This window comes from Homo sapiens, chromosome 10 (assembly GCF_000001405.40).
Source record: "Homo sapiens chromosome 10, GRCh38.p14 Primary Assembly".
NCBI classification, from domain to species: Eukaryota; Metazoa; Chordata; class Mammalia; order Primates; family Hominidae; genus Homo; species Homo sapiens.
This window is the reverse complement of record NC_000010.11, coordinates 1,600,662-1,616,173: the sequence shown is the minus strand read 5'-3', so window position 1 is coordinate 1,616,173 and position 15,512 is coordinate 1,600,662. Positions and strand designations below refer to the sequence as shown.

Genomic DNA, 15,512 nt, shown 5'->3' with positions numbered 1-15,512 from the left:
ATGTGGTGGCAAGAAAAATGGGAGAAAAAGTATAATTAGTCAACATAAAACACAGCTGCCATATTCCTCACTTCTGAAGGAGGGCACAAAGCCTAAATATAGAATTCCAGCCTCCCCCTGCCACCAGCATTGTAAAATGGATGATCCACTTTGCCATCTCCTCTGCTGGTTTGACAGGTGGGGTGATCTGAATCTGCCTTCTAGTAGAATCCAATTTTCAGTGGCTTTCTCCTTATTTAGGGGTCACAGTTTCCCATTGACAAATGCAATGAACATCATAGGCTGGTGAATTCGGCGTGTTTACAACACAGTGTTGCTGCCCCACTGGGTAGGAGCACCCACTTTCCGAAGGGAGGGACTGTGGTATTCAGGACAACAGTCCCTGCCCTGCCAAGTGGTGTCAACACTGGAGAGGTGAAAGTGTCCTGGGAACAGCCTCAGCCTCCTTCTTACAGAAGCATGGCCATCTTCTCCAGTAGAGGAAAACCTCCTTTGCTCACTACATCTCCAAATCCAGCATACCCAAGTCCTGGGGGTGGAAGAAACACATCCTTCCAGTGAGGTTGTCAGTGGGAGAGCCCAATTCCCATTCGAGTCTGTGCGTTCTGTGCCTTCTGACTGAGGGAAATGGCATGCATCGGACTTGGTGTAAGACACACTCTCCCGGGTGGACAATGCCCCACCCGGACAGCTGTGCACCCTGACACATCCACCATACCGCGCATCCTGGGCCTCTGGGTGGTGGGTAACTGGCGATGGCAGTGAGTCCTGGGCCACATCCAGGGCTGTGCTGCCTCCCCAGCATGGGCTGGAGGGGATGCCCAGCTTCTCTGGGGAGGGGCAGGCACACTTCAATCTGGAAGGCTGCTGTGAGCACAGCATGGCAGGGCGGGAAGGCAAGGCCATGGCATTGGCTCCAAGGTGGGGCAGGCAGTGGAGAGTGAACCTGGAGGCAGACAGACCACTAAGCAGTGCACCTGCTGACCATTCTAGAACTTTCCTTCATACCCTGTTCTCACTATTGTAATTTTTGTCATTATTTTCTAATAGCAAAAAAATAAAAATTTAAAACTTCAGGCCTCAGACAGAAGTAACTTTGTTTGCTGTTTTTTACCAATCCAACACATACACTTCTCAGTAGACCGAGGTGTACCCAGGGCCCATGAGCTCCTCCCCAACAATGAGAAGAAAGAGCCATAAACCCCTGAGACCAGTTTATGTTCCTAAACCCAAAACAAAAAGGGCATTTTATTATTTTTTTTTGAGTCAGAGTCTCGCTCTGTCACCCATACTGGAGTGCACTGGCGCGATCTCAGCTCACTGCAAGCTCCGCCTCCCAGGTTCACGCCATTCTCCTGCCTCAGCCTCCCGAGTAGCTGGGACTACAGGTGCCCGCCACCACACCCGGCTAATTTTTTGTATCTTTAGTAGAGACGGGGTTTCACCGTGTTAGCCAGGATGGTCTCAATCTCCTGAACTCGTGATCCGCCCGCCTCGGCCTCCCAAAGTGCTGGGATGACAGGCGTAAGCCACCATGCCCAGCCAAAAAGGGCATTTTTTTCTAAAATTCTTACTAAGTCCTGAAACAGACACACCCTCTCTCTGCTAATACTCATTGAGGGAACCTATTTTTCTGTATGGGATGGGAACTCATCAACAAAATCTGCTTTTTATTTCACTCGTTATAAACCCTGAGAGCAACATCTCCCATGTTTGGTGAACTTTCAGAAATTGATCCTTAATTTAGATAAATAAAATCATTGCTTTTTCTGTATTCTTTAAAATTCAAATTAAAACCCAGGCTGATGTAGCCAAATGTTTTTGCTTTGCCTAGTTTAAAAGTTCCAATGAGAAAACAATGTTTTAAGGAGAGAACAGTATCTATTTTGCTTTTTAAAGCTGTAATAAACATTGATGTTCTGTTAATGTAATCAATTTTTTTAACTTTTGTATTGAAACAATAGATTTACCTTTTACCATGTTAAGTTGATGACATCTGTACAAAAATATAAATTTTTCCTTTGAGAAAATGGAAATGCTGCATTCTTCTCTTTAACAGCCTCGGTGGTTTTCAGGCTGTCTGTGTGTTGTATCAGTGATGGACATTTAGACTTCAAGGTATAATTTCCAGTAAAGAAAAGTCATTTTATTTCCATCTGAATAAGCACTCTATCACACTAACCAAGTCAAACAAAGTTATTATCTGGCTTTTTGCCAAGGTATAAAAAATACAAAGGTCATATTTTTAATAGCTTTGTACTCTATAGTAATCAAATTGGAAAGCCTGGAGAAATAAACTCCTTGAATTTCCCCGTGCTTCCCGCGCACATTTAACCACTGGCTTGCTGCTCTCAGGTGCAGAGCTGCGGGCTTTCGGCTCACCATCCAGCCTTATCTCCATTATTAGCTTTGTACATAAAGGCATCGTGTTCTAATCATAAAGTAGCAGAAACCAGCTAATAAGAAACATGTCTATTCAACTCCACCTTTGAAGACTCTACCAAAAGATAACTTCCAGGAAAATCCCAGCTCATGGGTGAACACGATTACAGCATGTAAACCTGGATACACTGACGTGCTAATAGTTTACTCAGCTCTGCATTCACGAAAATGAGCATCTGCTGTATACTCCTTTTGTTTTGGGTGGCTGCATGAGTTGCTGGAAACTCTGCACAGTTACCCCACCCTGCTGCTGGGGTGGATTTTCAAATTCGCTTTGAAATCACAGGTAATCCTGAGGACTGAAGAATGTCTCATGGATGTTGTCCTTGAAATGGTAACGACAAGAAGTAGTAGGAAAAATTATAAAGACATGCCATTGAAGAATCATGATATTTATATTTTTGCTTAAAAAAAATCTTTTCATGGAATGGGTTTGAAGACATTCAACTGACCACACAAGACACACATTTCAGGCATGGCTAATGCTTGTTTTGCCCCAAAGGCATTCTGAGAACCATGTTGCTTCCTGTAAGTAAACGCCTTTCTTTGTACATTTCTCCTTCCACAGATCTTACTCTGGAGACGTTAGGGTAACAGTAAAGTTTACTTTTATCTCTGTCAGACAGATGCCGGGGAGCTGTCCATCAGAGCCTTTACAATTCTGAAGCTCTGTTACGCCCACTAGAAGTCATTCAATTCATGTGGGCTGTAACTCTAGAAGTAAACGGAAGTGTTAACTTGTTCACAACCCATTATCAACAGCTTTCATCAAAACTTCAGACACTATAATTTAAAATAACATTTATTTCAGCTACTAATCACTACAACCCAATAGTTTAAGATAGGGCTCTGCACACTTATCCTCAAGATCAGATAGTGAGTAGCTTAGGTTTTGCAGAGCAAGAGGCAAAACGAGGATATTATGTACCTGCTTATACAACGTAGCCCTTATAAATAAAAACCATTGTTACCTCATGGATGCCAAATAAACAAATAAATAACAAGATATGCAGGCTGCTGGCTGGATCCAGCTCAAGGGCCATAGTTTGCTGACCTCTGGTTCAAGAGAAGAGCCTCAGGCAACACACAGGGCTGCGATATTGGCTCTATCACTGGCAGGTGATTTGGACACGTTATTTAATGACTTTCAACCCTAATTTTCTCACCTATAAACAAGGACAATAATAGAGGCTGCCTCAGAGTTGGGAAGATGAGTAATATTAGGAATGTGTACTATCTACAGAACAATTGCTAGCCCTGTCTTAGCCTCTGTTTCAACAACATTTCATGACCACCTGCTGCTTTCTAATAGGCTTGACCCACCGGCGTTGTGACCGCCTCCTTATGTCCAGCCCCTCCCTCTGGAGCTCAGGCCTCGGGTCCTGGCTGGGGAGGGCGGCCATGGCCGCTCTGCTCTTTCCTCCTGGCTTCCCGTGTTCTATTTGAGGAACACGCCCATTCCCTCCTGCAGGGCAGATTCGTGCTTGGTGCAGAAGCACAAGGACGCGGCCCCTCCTCACAACTCAGAAAAAGACGAGGACCCCAGCCTCTTCTGAATTTCTCTTAATGGCTGATGAGCTGTGGGAGAGGCGGCCCCCTCGGCTCAGCCCTGGGGAGGAACCGAGTCACAGGACCTGCCAGCTGGAAAGATCCCCTCCAATCTCCCTGGTCGGCCCGAACCCACCTCATCGTGCCCCCCAGCGCTGGGAGATGAGTTCTGCCTAATTCCTTGTGATTCTGAAGACCGGTCTCCTTGCTCACACGGGGTGAAACAGAAAGAAACAGACAAGGGCAGGTGGGGGCGGGAAGAGGCCCCAGCTGCACCCCCAGGCACCACGCATCTGGGGTGCATGGTCCAGGGTTGCCCAGGGCTCTGTCTGTCCATCTTTTTTCACTGCTGCAAGAGTTTCCTTCAGAAGGAGATGGGTGGATAAGAGAGACACAAAAAAAATCTCATCGCTGGGACGATATATCAAGTCACCTTGAGCTAAGGTCGTGTGAAATGAATCCGCTACTTCTGGGCTGAAATTACAACAAGGCAAAAATGTTTTTTCCTCCTTTCCTTCAGCCTAATGTATGTGTCATGTTCCCGTATTAGGAACATCAATGGGGGCACCGTGCCCTGTTCCCAAGGAGGGAGGAAGAGGCCAAGATGCATTAAGGATGTGAGTGGAGGGGGAGAGCCGAGTTCTCATCCCACGAGACCCCCCACCTCCCCAGCATTTGGGGAATGGGGAGCTCCAGCGAGTGAAGCAGCAAGAGGGAGAAAATCAATTATTGGAGAGAGAATTTCATCCAGGCAGCTGCTTTCCAACGAAATGAGAGTGAATTTCCCCCTTGGATCAGATATACTGCCACTGTCTTAGTGTCTTAAATTATTTGTTCTGAGAGTAAGTTGAGAGAGGAACTGAGTATTACAGATTTCAGCAGCACACGCTGATTTATGGGCCTTGGGCACACTGAAGGTCCAGGAGAAGAAGAAAGATCGGCCGCTGGAAGATGCATTCACTCCGCGCCTCCAAAACGGGCCTGAGAGAGCCCCCAGCCCTCAGCCTGTGACACTCCTCAGCCTTTCTGGGGAAAGCCGGGTCCACGGGGAAGGTTTCCTCCCCCTCCCTTGCCCTTTGTATGTTTGGGGAGGTTTAGGACTACTTGCAGACACGCGGCACCAGTGACTGGAAAGTAAAGGCTTGTAACGTTGATGTCGTCGTATGGACCATATGTATTTCCTACCACTAATGTACAATTTGGTGGACATTTTATGGGCTGAATAGGTCCCCAAAATTCATGAGTTAAAGCCCCCACCTCATGTGTGTGTGTGAGTCTGTGTGTGTGCATTTACATGTCTATGTGTGTTTGTATGTGTATGTATGGGTGTGTCTGCGAGTCTTTGTGTGTGCATGTCTGTGTCTGTATGTGTCTGTATGTGTGCATGTGCCTGTGCACATGTGTGTCTGTGCATGTGTGTGTGTGTGTGTGTGTGCGCCTGCCCATCTCCATGAACAGTCCTGCTTAAAGCATTCTTGCTTGGCCTTATGACCTTGTGAAATGCCGGGACACAAACTAAAAGACCCCGGATGGAGAGGCATCTGTGGCCCAGCAAGTCCCTAGACGAGGGCTCTGACGAGGAAGCCCCTTATTCCCGGCTCAGCAGCTGGTGCTGGATGAGGACCCCGGCAGGCACCTGTCCCGACCCCACATCAATGACTCAGGTTTACAGGCCCCAGTGCCTAGTGCTTTTCTTTCTGTCCACTTGTTTTACCCAGAAAAGTAGTGCTAGTTACTGAAAATTATCCCTTTTTCTGTCTTTGCAAAGACATAGATGCAATGTTCATCACTGAGTGTGGGGACAGAGGGGAGCAAAGCCTGTTTCTGGCCCTTAACTTGGGGTCTGGGCTAGGAGAAAGGGGCCTGTGGACATATCGTATCGTTGAGACTGCACCTGGGTTCCCAGCCAGCACCTTGTGCAGAGGCTGGAGGCGAGCAGCAGAACTGCCCGTGTAGGGGCCCTGGGGCTGCAGGGAGGCAGGGAGCCCACGGTGATTCTGGAAGGATCCTGAGAACAGGCTGGAGGGGGCCTAGGAGCATTTATCACTGTGCAATTTAACATCTCTGACCTATTGGGCCTCTCATAATAAAACAATCTTAAAAAGGAAAACAGGCAGTAATAATAAAAAAAAAAATGCAGCAATCCAATTCAGCTGGTGGCTGCCCAAGCTTGAAGGTCTCTGGGCACCTTTGCTTAAATAGCTGAAAACAAAATTATGCTAAGCAGAAGCATCTGAAGTCGGCCTGCTGCAATCCTAATGAAGAGGGCAGACGGGGACTGTCAGCGCCCTGCTATTCATCACCTGCCCTCCGATGCTGGAGAAGGGTGTTTAAACCAGACACCTGGAGAGGTGATTTGCTAACGCTACGCGTGGTCATGACCACAGACACAGGGCGACACACTCTTTGCAGCCACACAGCTCACCCGGGCCCAGTAGAGCCCAGTGTGTGGGTTAAAGCCCCGCCCATGTGCTCCCTGTGTTGATAAAAGAGTGTCCCCAAGGGAAGCGTCTTCCTAGGGTGTTCTTTCAGGATTACAGACACACAGTTAAGAGAGCACGCAGTCCCTCATGTGAAATGTGAATATTGAAACACCCTCTGTGCAACCAGTCAGCTGATGCCCTGGCTTAGGACCGAAGGTTTCTCATAAGGGAAGAGATGGCAGCTGTTGGATGCATGCAGGAGAGCAGATTTGTGGGTCCTCGGGCCAGGAGGCTTCTTGGCCCTGAGAACCTGAAAGCAGGAGACAGGGGCAGACAGGGCTGGCAGGTGGGGGTGCCGCCTTCCCAGGCACGCAGCCTCCTGGCACCAGGGCAGCAAAGAGTTAATCAGGGAGACAAACCCGCTGTGACCAGCGGGTCTCTGTGCAATCATCAGGAGAACTAGCTATTATAGCCCGTTTAATAGCTTGAAAATGAACTCATTAGTGGTCTTTTATCAGTGGAAAAAAGTCTATTAAACCCGGACGTGTGAGGCAGCAGCCCTGCGGCACATTCCCATCCCGCCTGTGAGCTGAGCGAATCCGAAAAGCGTCTCTGGGAGCAGGGTCAGGCTCCCTGAAAGGGGACCAAAGGCCAGCGACGCCGGGCACCAGGCACATTGCTCCTGAGATCTTCGCCTTAATTTATAGTTTGGTGGGCGTTTCGGGTCCTTCTTTCTAGCCTTCTGCATTAGCCGTGCAATCCGCAGGGGCAGCCTCAAGAGGATGCCACGGTTTAATGTGGTGTTGCTGCAAGAGGGACGCACAATAGGGCATGGCCATCCGGCACCCTGCAGGGGCTCAAGACAGAGGGCCGGCAATGCGGAGGGAAATGCTGTCCCTACCCCCATCTCCCCTCCCTCCCAGACTTCCTTCTCTCCTTCCTTCCTCCTCCCTCCCTTGCTTTTCTTTCTTTCTTTCTTTCTTTCTCTTTCTCTTTCTTTCCTTCCTTCCTTCTTTCTTCTCTTTCTTTCTTACTTTTTTCTTTCCTTCCTTCCTTTTTCTTTCTTACTTTTTCCTCCTCCTTCCATTTTTTCTTCCTTCTCGTCCTCCCTCCTTCCCTCCCTCCCTTCATTTCTCTTTTTTCTTCCTTTCTTCCTTCCTCATTCCTTTTTTCCTTCCTCTCTCCTTCCCTCCTTCTGTCTTTCTTTCTCTTCCTTCCCACTTTCCTTCCTCCATTCTCCTTCCTTCTCTTTCTCCCTTCTTTTCCCCTTTTCTTCCTTTTTTCCTTCCTTCCCTCCTCTCATCCCCTTCCTTCCTCCCGTCTGTCAATGGTCCCCGAAGATAGAGTGGTAGAGTTCTTTCATGCACTGCACACTCACTATTTCCTGCCGCTGGTGACGATTTAAATTCTCTTGGACAAACATCTCAGCAGCAGCACAGGCACGCTGCGTCTCCATGACCTCTGGGACTGAGGGACCCGGTGAGCATAAATCCAGGAAATAAACTGTGAGGCAAATGCAAAAGGTCATCTCAAAATACCTTTTCCTCCTTTAATATCTTATGGACTTTCCAAACCCCGCTCCAGACGTTGGCACAGACTTTTATACTATGTCAAATCACTTTCCATTTGCATGGATCTTGTTTCATGAACAAGATGATAAATAGATGATGCCAGAAGTTGTGTTTTACCCTTCTTTCAGAATCCCCCTGAAACCTACGTCAGTTTCCAGTGGATGCTGTGGTCTTGGCCCCCCATGGGACAGGGCTATATTGCATTGCCCTTGCACACTGTTGTGTGGGGTGTGATGGGTAGACAGCAGTCTCTGAAATTATCAAGCTGGGAGCCATGTTAAAAACAACCACTACTTACCTATTAGAAGCCACTTTTCCACTTAAAGTTCATGCGAGGCCTGGAGGACCATGCCCTAAGCCCACAGAGGTCAGCCGCGTCATGTCCAGTGTGGGTGATGGCTGGAGCCCCAGGCAGGTCCAGAGGCACTGGGCGGATGCCTCCTGGAGTCAGAAGTCAGCCGTGTGACGTCCCCTGCCTGGAGTCATGATTCTATGCATGTCGCTGCGGGCAGGGTCCCTAGGGTTCCCATCGTGTCAGCATCAACGAGCTCTCGTACTTTACTGGAGGAGTGAATGGCACTGATGCAGAGCTCCTGGGTCAGGGCGTCCCTCCATGTCTGCAGGTGAATAGGGCTTCGGTAGCTGGTGCCTGGTGTCTGGGATGTGGTCATCATCATTTCTCAAGCAGGACAGCAGCCTGTGGCTCAAACGTGTGTCTCAGCTGCAGATCACAGCATTAGGTGATGAGAAACTTCAGAGCCGAGGTTAGGTCTTGGGACACAGAGCGTGGACTATATTTCTGTGACTCCAGAGTTTCAGGGTCCTTCAGACCTCTGTCCCAGCCTAAATGGCCTAGCATTACTAACAAGTGACAGAGAACCGGGTCCTCTCTAGCCTCTGATGGACGTGGTGAATCGTTCATGAATGGAGGAAGAGGGGCAGCTCAGCCCTCGGAGACCTCGGCCAGGGGAAGCCCAACTTCTGCCCACCAGAGTTAGGGATCAGCCACTTGCGAGAAGAAAATTCAAAGTTTCATTTTATTTATCAAAGTTAAAAGGCCTAACTGAAATGGATTACATTTCATATTTGTTGTTGAATTATAGACATTTCAAAACGTGTATATTGTTACCTGTCCAGATTAGACATTATATTTTTTGCTTTGTTTTTGTTGTTGTTAAAAATCCTCACTCCTTTTGGCAGTTTAAGTAGATGGTGGAATTCTTCATTCTTTGCCTGAATTACTGGTCTATTTGCCCCACATTCTGTCATGGATGGACAAAATCAGTACAAAATGGCACAACAGCACAGGCCGTTTCACTGGGGTAATGTGAACCTCAGGTTTAGTTTGCCTGACACACACTTGTTGTTGACTCAATGGGCCCTGGCTTCAATGGCTTCTGTTCCCCGTGCAGGAAGCAGGTACCAGCCCAGTGTGTCTCCTGTTCAGTCTGTGCAGGAGCCTGTCAGCTCTCCAAGTGCCCCAACCCACACTCCCATAGAGTCCCTTCTACTACCGCTAAACCTGCTTGCTTAGAGAAAGAACTTCCGGCCAGAAAGAAATCATCCCTTCCCTGCACCTTTTCTTCCCTCTTGACCACCTGTGGGACTCTAGCTGGCTCTCTCGTGGTCTCCTTCGGACTTGGGATGGACACAGGCTTGATGGATTCATCTCATTGCATGTTTTGCCAATCAGCCTCTGTCTGAAAGGCATATTGTCTCTTGCAGGCCCTAAACCTTTCCCACGTCCCTTCCTTGGGCTGTGAAGCAGGGCTCTCACCTGCTTGCGTAGAGAGCATTCTTTCACACTCCTCACCAGGTGTGTCCAGGGTTACCTGGGAGCTTGCCAGGCACAGCCAGGATGCTCCCCCCCGCTCAGGTTTCCAGCTCAGAGAGTCTGGGCTGGGGCTTGACTTTGCACTTCTAAGCCCCATGTGAGGAGAACTTCGAGAACTAGTGCCATAGGGTGAAGACTGTAGGCCCCCAGAAAGGTGCTGGGACACCAGCTGCATGCCCAAACTTGGGCAACAGGAAAGGAAGGAGCGGGGGAAGAGACATGGAGAACCTGAAACCCAGCCCAGGAATCACCAACGGGAATGATCTTGAATTGCGTGTAATTTTCACGTGAAAGAAATATACATATTGTAAATGCCATCCTTTAAACTAAATCACTAACAAATTGATTGGTAAACATCGTGATCACTAGACTGTTTGAATGTTTAAATTCCAGAACTGTGCAGCTGTTCACCCAAACTGATTGTTCTATGGACATTTTGTCATGAAAATCAATATTTTATTTCATTCCAATCATTGACTTTAGACATTCATTTGCCAGATAATGGGCTGCTAGTCCTCTTAACGTTCTCTAAGTTGTCCATAAATTCATATTCTAAGCCAATATACGTTGAAGCCCTTTTGCATCACTCTTCCTGTTATTGAGACATCTAAAGCAGAAATTTCATTTCTTTTCAAAGGTAAGGGCCCTCTTTATATATCCAAAATGTTTTGCCTCCTCAGGCAATAGTAGCTGTAGGTTGGGTACTTACTTTTTAAGAAAATAGTTATAAAAAGCAACTTACTAGGACTTGAATAAGTAAGTGCATTTTCCTTATCCCAATAGAAACTACATATATTAAAAATAAGTTACAAGTAGAATTATAAGTGCAAGTGCAGTAGGAAATGGTCACCCTGGACTTTTTACTGAATCCTAAATCCAGGCTTCTCAGAGGAGACCATTCATACCCATTCAATCCAGAATCAGAGATTGGCAAGGAAAGAAGGGCACCAGTGGTCTCCAGGCCCACCTCGCTCCCTGGGCAATGCCTCTGAGAGACGGGAAGGTGACATTGTCACAGTAAGAGCTGCGTGGAATCACAAGAACCTGATTGCATCAGTGACCAGCAAACCCTCAGGGGTTCCCTGTAAACCCCAGGCTGAAGGAACGAGGCGCTCAGGGACCCACTGAGGCCACAAAGAGAAGGCATGGCTTGCCAGCCAGAAGAAGAGAAGGAAGGGAGGACTCACCTGAACCATGGATTCTGCCCTGAGGGTCTGTTTGAAAACAGCTTTTTCGGTCTGGCTTTATGTAGATGACATTTCCATCATCCCTACGAAAAATTGAATATACTATTTATTACTATAACTCTATTAGATAAATGGGTTTATTCTGCTGTTACAAAAATAATTGCATGGAAAATGTGCCTTTTGAGTTCTCTGACCATAAGAGTTTGCCCTTTTTATCTCTTTTCTGAGTTTTGGCTATAGTATGCATCTCCGTCATAGCAGAAATGATAAAATTGGGAGACACTTGTAGTATTGCTCAGAGCTTCATGCACACAGACGTCCTCACCAAACTTACCACGAGAAGTGGTTGGGTGCCCCTTGAATCTAGAACCAAATAAAATACACCAGACACTATAGTTGATGCATGAACTCATTGTAACGTTCTCATGCGTTGAGGAGGAACAGGCTTAGAGGAGACAAGGACCGGTTACAGGTAATAGATTCACAGCAGCTCTTTCCTTTTGGTGTTAACAGTAAAGAGAATATACAGCAGATGTAAGATTCAAAACACTACAAAACCAGGCTCTTTGTATTTTACCCCTAAATTGTGCTACAGTATTTCTGATTGTGGTGTGAAAACGTAAACCGTGGCAGTGCAAACAAAACAGTGCCTGGCCTCTCCCTGGAGTAATTCTCCATCCACTCCCTCTCCCTTTCCAGGAAGGGCTGACCCAGGGCTCTAGGGATCTGGGTCGAATCTTCCTGCCTGTTCCCAGCCTGGAGATCACAGGGAAGCCACACCCACGCCTTCAACATCAGTTTCTTCTAGAAACAGTCAACGTCGGGTCGACATCAAATAATTCTTGTAAAGATTAAAATGAGATAATGCAAAAAAGGCTCTGACATTCACTAACTTCTGGAGAAAATACTGTTTATTGTTTATACTTTATAAGGCCATTCCTTGAGAGCTAGAATTTATCTGGGTTCTGTAGTAGCTGAAAAAAATATATTTTTCTGAAAAATTCATAGTAAATGCTGATTGATGACTGAGTATTGACTAGATAGATAGATAGATATAAAATATTGGCCAGAGGCAGTGGCTCATGCCTGTAATCCCAGCACTTTGGGAGGCCGAGGTGGGTGGATCACTTGAGGTCAGGAGTTTGAGACCAGCCTGGCCAACATAGTGAAACCCCATCTTTACTAAAAATACAAAAATTAGTCAGGCATGATGGTGTGCACCTGTAATCCCAGCTACTCAGGAGGCTGAGGCAGGAGAATCGCTTGAACCCAGGAGGCAGAGAGGTTGCAGTGAGCTGAGATCACACCACTGCATTACAGCCTGGAGACAGAGTAAAACTCTGTCTCAAAATAAATAAATAAATAAAATATATATGACTGTATATTAATACTACAGTTTGTGCCTAAGCAAATTATCAAATTTTTAGGACTCCATTTTTTACGATAAAATTTGAAAATGGTAAAAAAAAAAAAAAGATCACAGCTCTAAAATTGTATGTGACTGTGACTTATGACCACTGTACATACTGTGAGCTGTCACATAAACCACAAAAGTGCAACTGGCAGCGTAGAGAGAACCTCCATGGCACTGGGCACCTCGTGCTCTCTCGGTGACACTCAGGCCTTCCTTCGGCCAAGGAAATCGTTCTAATCAGGGTGATTTCAGACGCTATGGGTAGGAGGTTAGGGGACATCCTTTTCACAAGCAGAAATCTTCAGTCCTGTGATCCTCATCTCTGTCCAGGTAGCAGGGCTGGCCCTACTCAGGACCTCGAGGTGCAAAGGTCCTTAGAGCGGAGCGACTACCAGGGTCGGGCTCCAAGCCGGTGCTGCTTCCTGGCCCTTGTCAATGCGGCACCAGGAAGAGCCATAGCCATGGCCGTCCCTGACACAGCCCTGCTGTCATCCGGGGGTGCTGCCTACCAATTGTCCGAAGAATCCATCTTCCTCATCCCAGCTCCACCCCGGCCACATGTGTGAATGTGTGTACAGGTGTGTGTGTGTTAATGTGTGTACAGGTGTGTGTGTGTTTATGTGTGTATAGGTGTGTGTGTATAGGTGTGTGTGTTGATGTGTGTATGTGTGTACAGGTGTCTGTGTTGTGTGTATGTATAGGTGTGTGTGCGTGTGTGTTTATATTGATGTGTGTATGTGTGTGTACAGTTGTGTGTGTTGGTGTGTGTGCACGTGTTGATGTGTGTCTGTGTGTGCATGTGTGTACAGGTGTGCGCATGATGTGCATCTATGTATATACAGGTGTGTGTTCATATGTGTATGTACAAGTGTGTGTGTGTTGATATGTGTATGTGTGTATGTAGAGGTGTGTGTATGTACAGATGTGCATATGTGTGTGGATGTACAGGTGTGTATGCATATGTGTGTGGATGTATGTGGATGTGTGTGTATGTACAGGTGTGTGTGTGTTGTGTGTCTGTATGTACAGGTGTGTGTGCATATGTGTGTGGATGTGTGTATGTACAGGTGTGTGTGCATATGTGTGTGGATGTGTATGTACAGGTGTGTGTGCATATGTATGTGGATGTGTGTGTGTATCTGCACAGCCACCATCAAGGTTCATTCTTGAGGAAATAGCCAGGATAGCCTCTCCCTGGCTGTGCAATGTGGAGTCAGTTTCTCCAATGACAAAAGAAGTCGTGCCCTCCTCATTTATCATGGAGAGTCGATGGATGCCGGAGGGATGAGGAAAGGAGAAAAATCACGCTTCCCCTCCTCCATTCCTTGGGAGGCCTGTCATCGGGAGCCATTCTTCCCTCAGCGTGGTGTGAGGAATTGCTGATGTGGGGAGGGAGACGCTGGGAAAACACAACGCGCTCAAAAGTGGCATTGAAAGCAGAGTGGACCTGGCTCTCAGGCCTCTGCAGGCACAGAAGGAACCTCGGGAAGCGGCTCCTCCACCCTACTGGCCTGACCACCCGTGGTGTGCATTCAGCAGGTGCCAGTTTGAAAGTCCACATCAGGGTCTCTGGGAGTCAGTCCCCCGTGTGGAGTCAGCAGAACCCACTGCAGGACAGCCAGCCATCGCTGGGTGGTAGGGTAGCGACTTCCCCGCCAGCTTCAGGCCCTCTGAGCCTGTCCCTGCTCCGTTTGCACACAGCACCCAACACGCACCGGTTCCCATGAGCCCTCCTGCCAGTGGCTTCCAAGAGTCCATCTCTGAGGGAGAACTTGCTGTAGTGATGGCTGACTCTACTAAGAACGTCCATGAATTCTGCTGAGTCCTGGGTTTCCACAAAGGGAATGGGACCCCCTCACATTCAATGCTTTTGCTTTTGCTTTGTTTTATCTGTGGCTTAGTTTTCTATTGAAACTGAACTTTTCTCACTGTGACCCACAAGGATTGCAGTGACAACTGTTCCTAAAGATTTCTTTGAAAGATGCATGGAAGTACCCCGGAGCACAGACCGCAGCGGCTGATGCTGGCTTTCGGGGGAGCAGGTGGCTGTCGTCAGGAGCACATCGTCTCTCCCACCAACGTTCCTTGGACACCGATCAGCTTTGTGGTTCTTTTTGGTGAGCTGCTCATCAGCTCAGCACATGTTTCTAACGTGTGTACAGCATGCCAAGTTTCATGCAAAAGGAACAGACATGAGCCTTTTTCCTGTGAGGCCAGCTCTCTGGCTAAGACACAATAGCTAAGATCGGTGTTTATTTTTTAAAGTAGGCTTTAAATCATGTTGTTACAGGAAAATTGAATGCATTTGGCAAGGCTGAGATGGGGAGATTCCTTCAGGGCACAGGAAACCGTTTACTGTGAGAAGGGCATGCTGGCAAGAAAACTGGACTAAAGTTAACTTAGACCCACACTGCAGAGCCGAACCTGGATTCTGTCCGATGGCCACCAGTGGGGGCCCACCTGGCCTATCTTCCACTTGGTCATTGACGCCTGGGCTCCAGTGACCACTCACAGGCTTCACAAAAACCTAGGGAAGCTCCCACTGAGTCTCTGAGCCACACGTGGTGTCTCTGTGACTTTATGAGTTGGGTGTTCCAAAGAGGACGGGAACAGGCAAACTGGCTTTCTGTTCTGAGCAGCCGGTCTGTGGCCAATGCAAACCTGTCTGAACTTGTGTCTGAGTACTGCAGGCTCTTCACACTCAGAGCTCACTTCCTCTCATGAATTAGACGTAGCATCAGCCTCTGAGACTGAGCAAGGCCCTGCTGCAAGAGTCACTGCTTCTGCGGCCGCCGTCATCATCGCTCCCACCAGCTAATCTGCCTTGAGGAGCTGCGTGCTGGCTGCTTCCTCTCCACCATAGAATGCCATTTTCACATGCACCTGGGAGGAGGGATTTAGCATCACCATGGAACAGGGGCCTCAGAGAATCATAGATTTGCCCAAACATGTGCTGTTGTTAAGTTCCCTGCCAAATAGGAAGAATGGGAGAGTGGAAATCAATGGGACTCCTTCTAGTCGGAGCAGCTATTACATAATAAATTAGTGTCCTTTCTGGTAACACTGAATCTTTTTTTTTTTTTTTTTTTTTTT

General features: G+C 47.6%; 1 protein-coding gene across 1 annotated transcript in view, besides 4 other annotated features; it reads left to right on the top strand.

The window, feature by feature from the left end:
- The window catches only part of ADARB2 (adenosine deaminase RNA specific B2 (inactive)), a 560,213-nt gene that overhangs the window by 121,352 nt on the left and 423,349 nt on the right, over positions 1-15,512 (top strand). The gene's annotated exons all lie outside the window — the stretch shown is intronic.
- Positions 5,896-6,057: a silencer, noted in NCBI's record as "fragment chr10:1652312-1652473 (GRCh37/hg19 assembly coordinates)". NCBI's record gives its function as "represses an EF-1alpha promoter that drives an FKBP-Casp9 reporter gene in an ReSE screen in HepG2 liver carcinoma cells {active_cell/tissue: HepG2}" and the evidence as "EXISTENCE:reporter gene assay evidence [ECO:0000049][PMID:32094911]".
- Positions 6,259-6,786: an enhancer, noted in NCBI's record as "H3K4me1 hESC enhancer chr10:1651583-1652110 (GRCh37/hg19 assembly coordinates)". NCBI's record gives its function as "activates a minimal SCP1, AML or CMV promoter by ChIP-STARR-seq in primed H9 embryonic stem cells {active_cell/tissue: H9 hESC(primed)}" and the evidence as "EXISTENCE:reporter gene assay evidence [ECO:0000049][PMID:30033119]".
- Positions 6,787-7,316: an enhancer, noted in NCBI's record as "H3K4me1 hESC enhancer chr10:1651053-1651582 (GRCh37/hg19 assembly coordinates)". NCBI's record gives its function as "activates a minimal SCP1, AML or CMV promoter by ChIP-STARR-seq in primed H9 embryonic stem cells {active_cell/tissue: H9 hESC(primed)}" and the evidence as "EXISTENCE:reporter gene assay evidence [ECO:0000049][PMID:30033119]".
- Positions 13,468-13,974: an enhancer, noted in NCBI's record as "H3K4me1 hESC enhancer chr10:1644395-1644901 (GRCh37/hg19 assembly coordinates)". NCBI's record gives its function as "activates a minimal SCP1, AML or CMV promoter by ChIP-STARR-seq in primed H9 embryonic stem cells {active_cell/tissue: H9 hESC(primed)}" and the evidence as "EXISTENCE:reporter gene assay evidence [ECO:0000049][PMID:30033119]".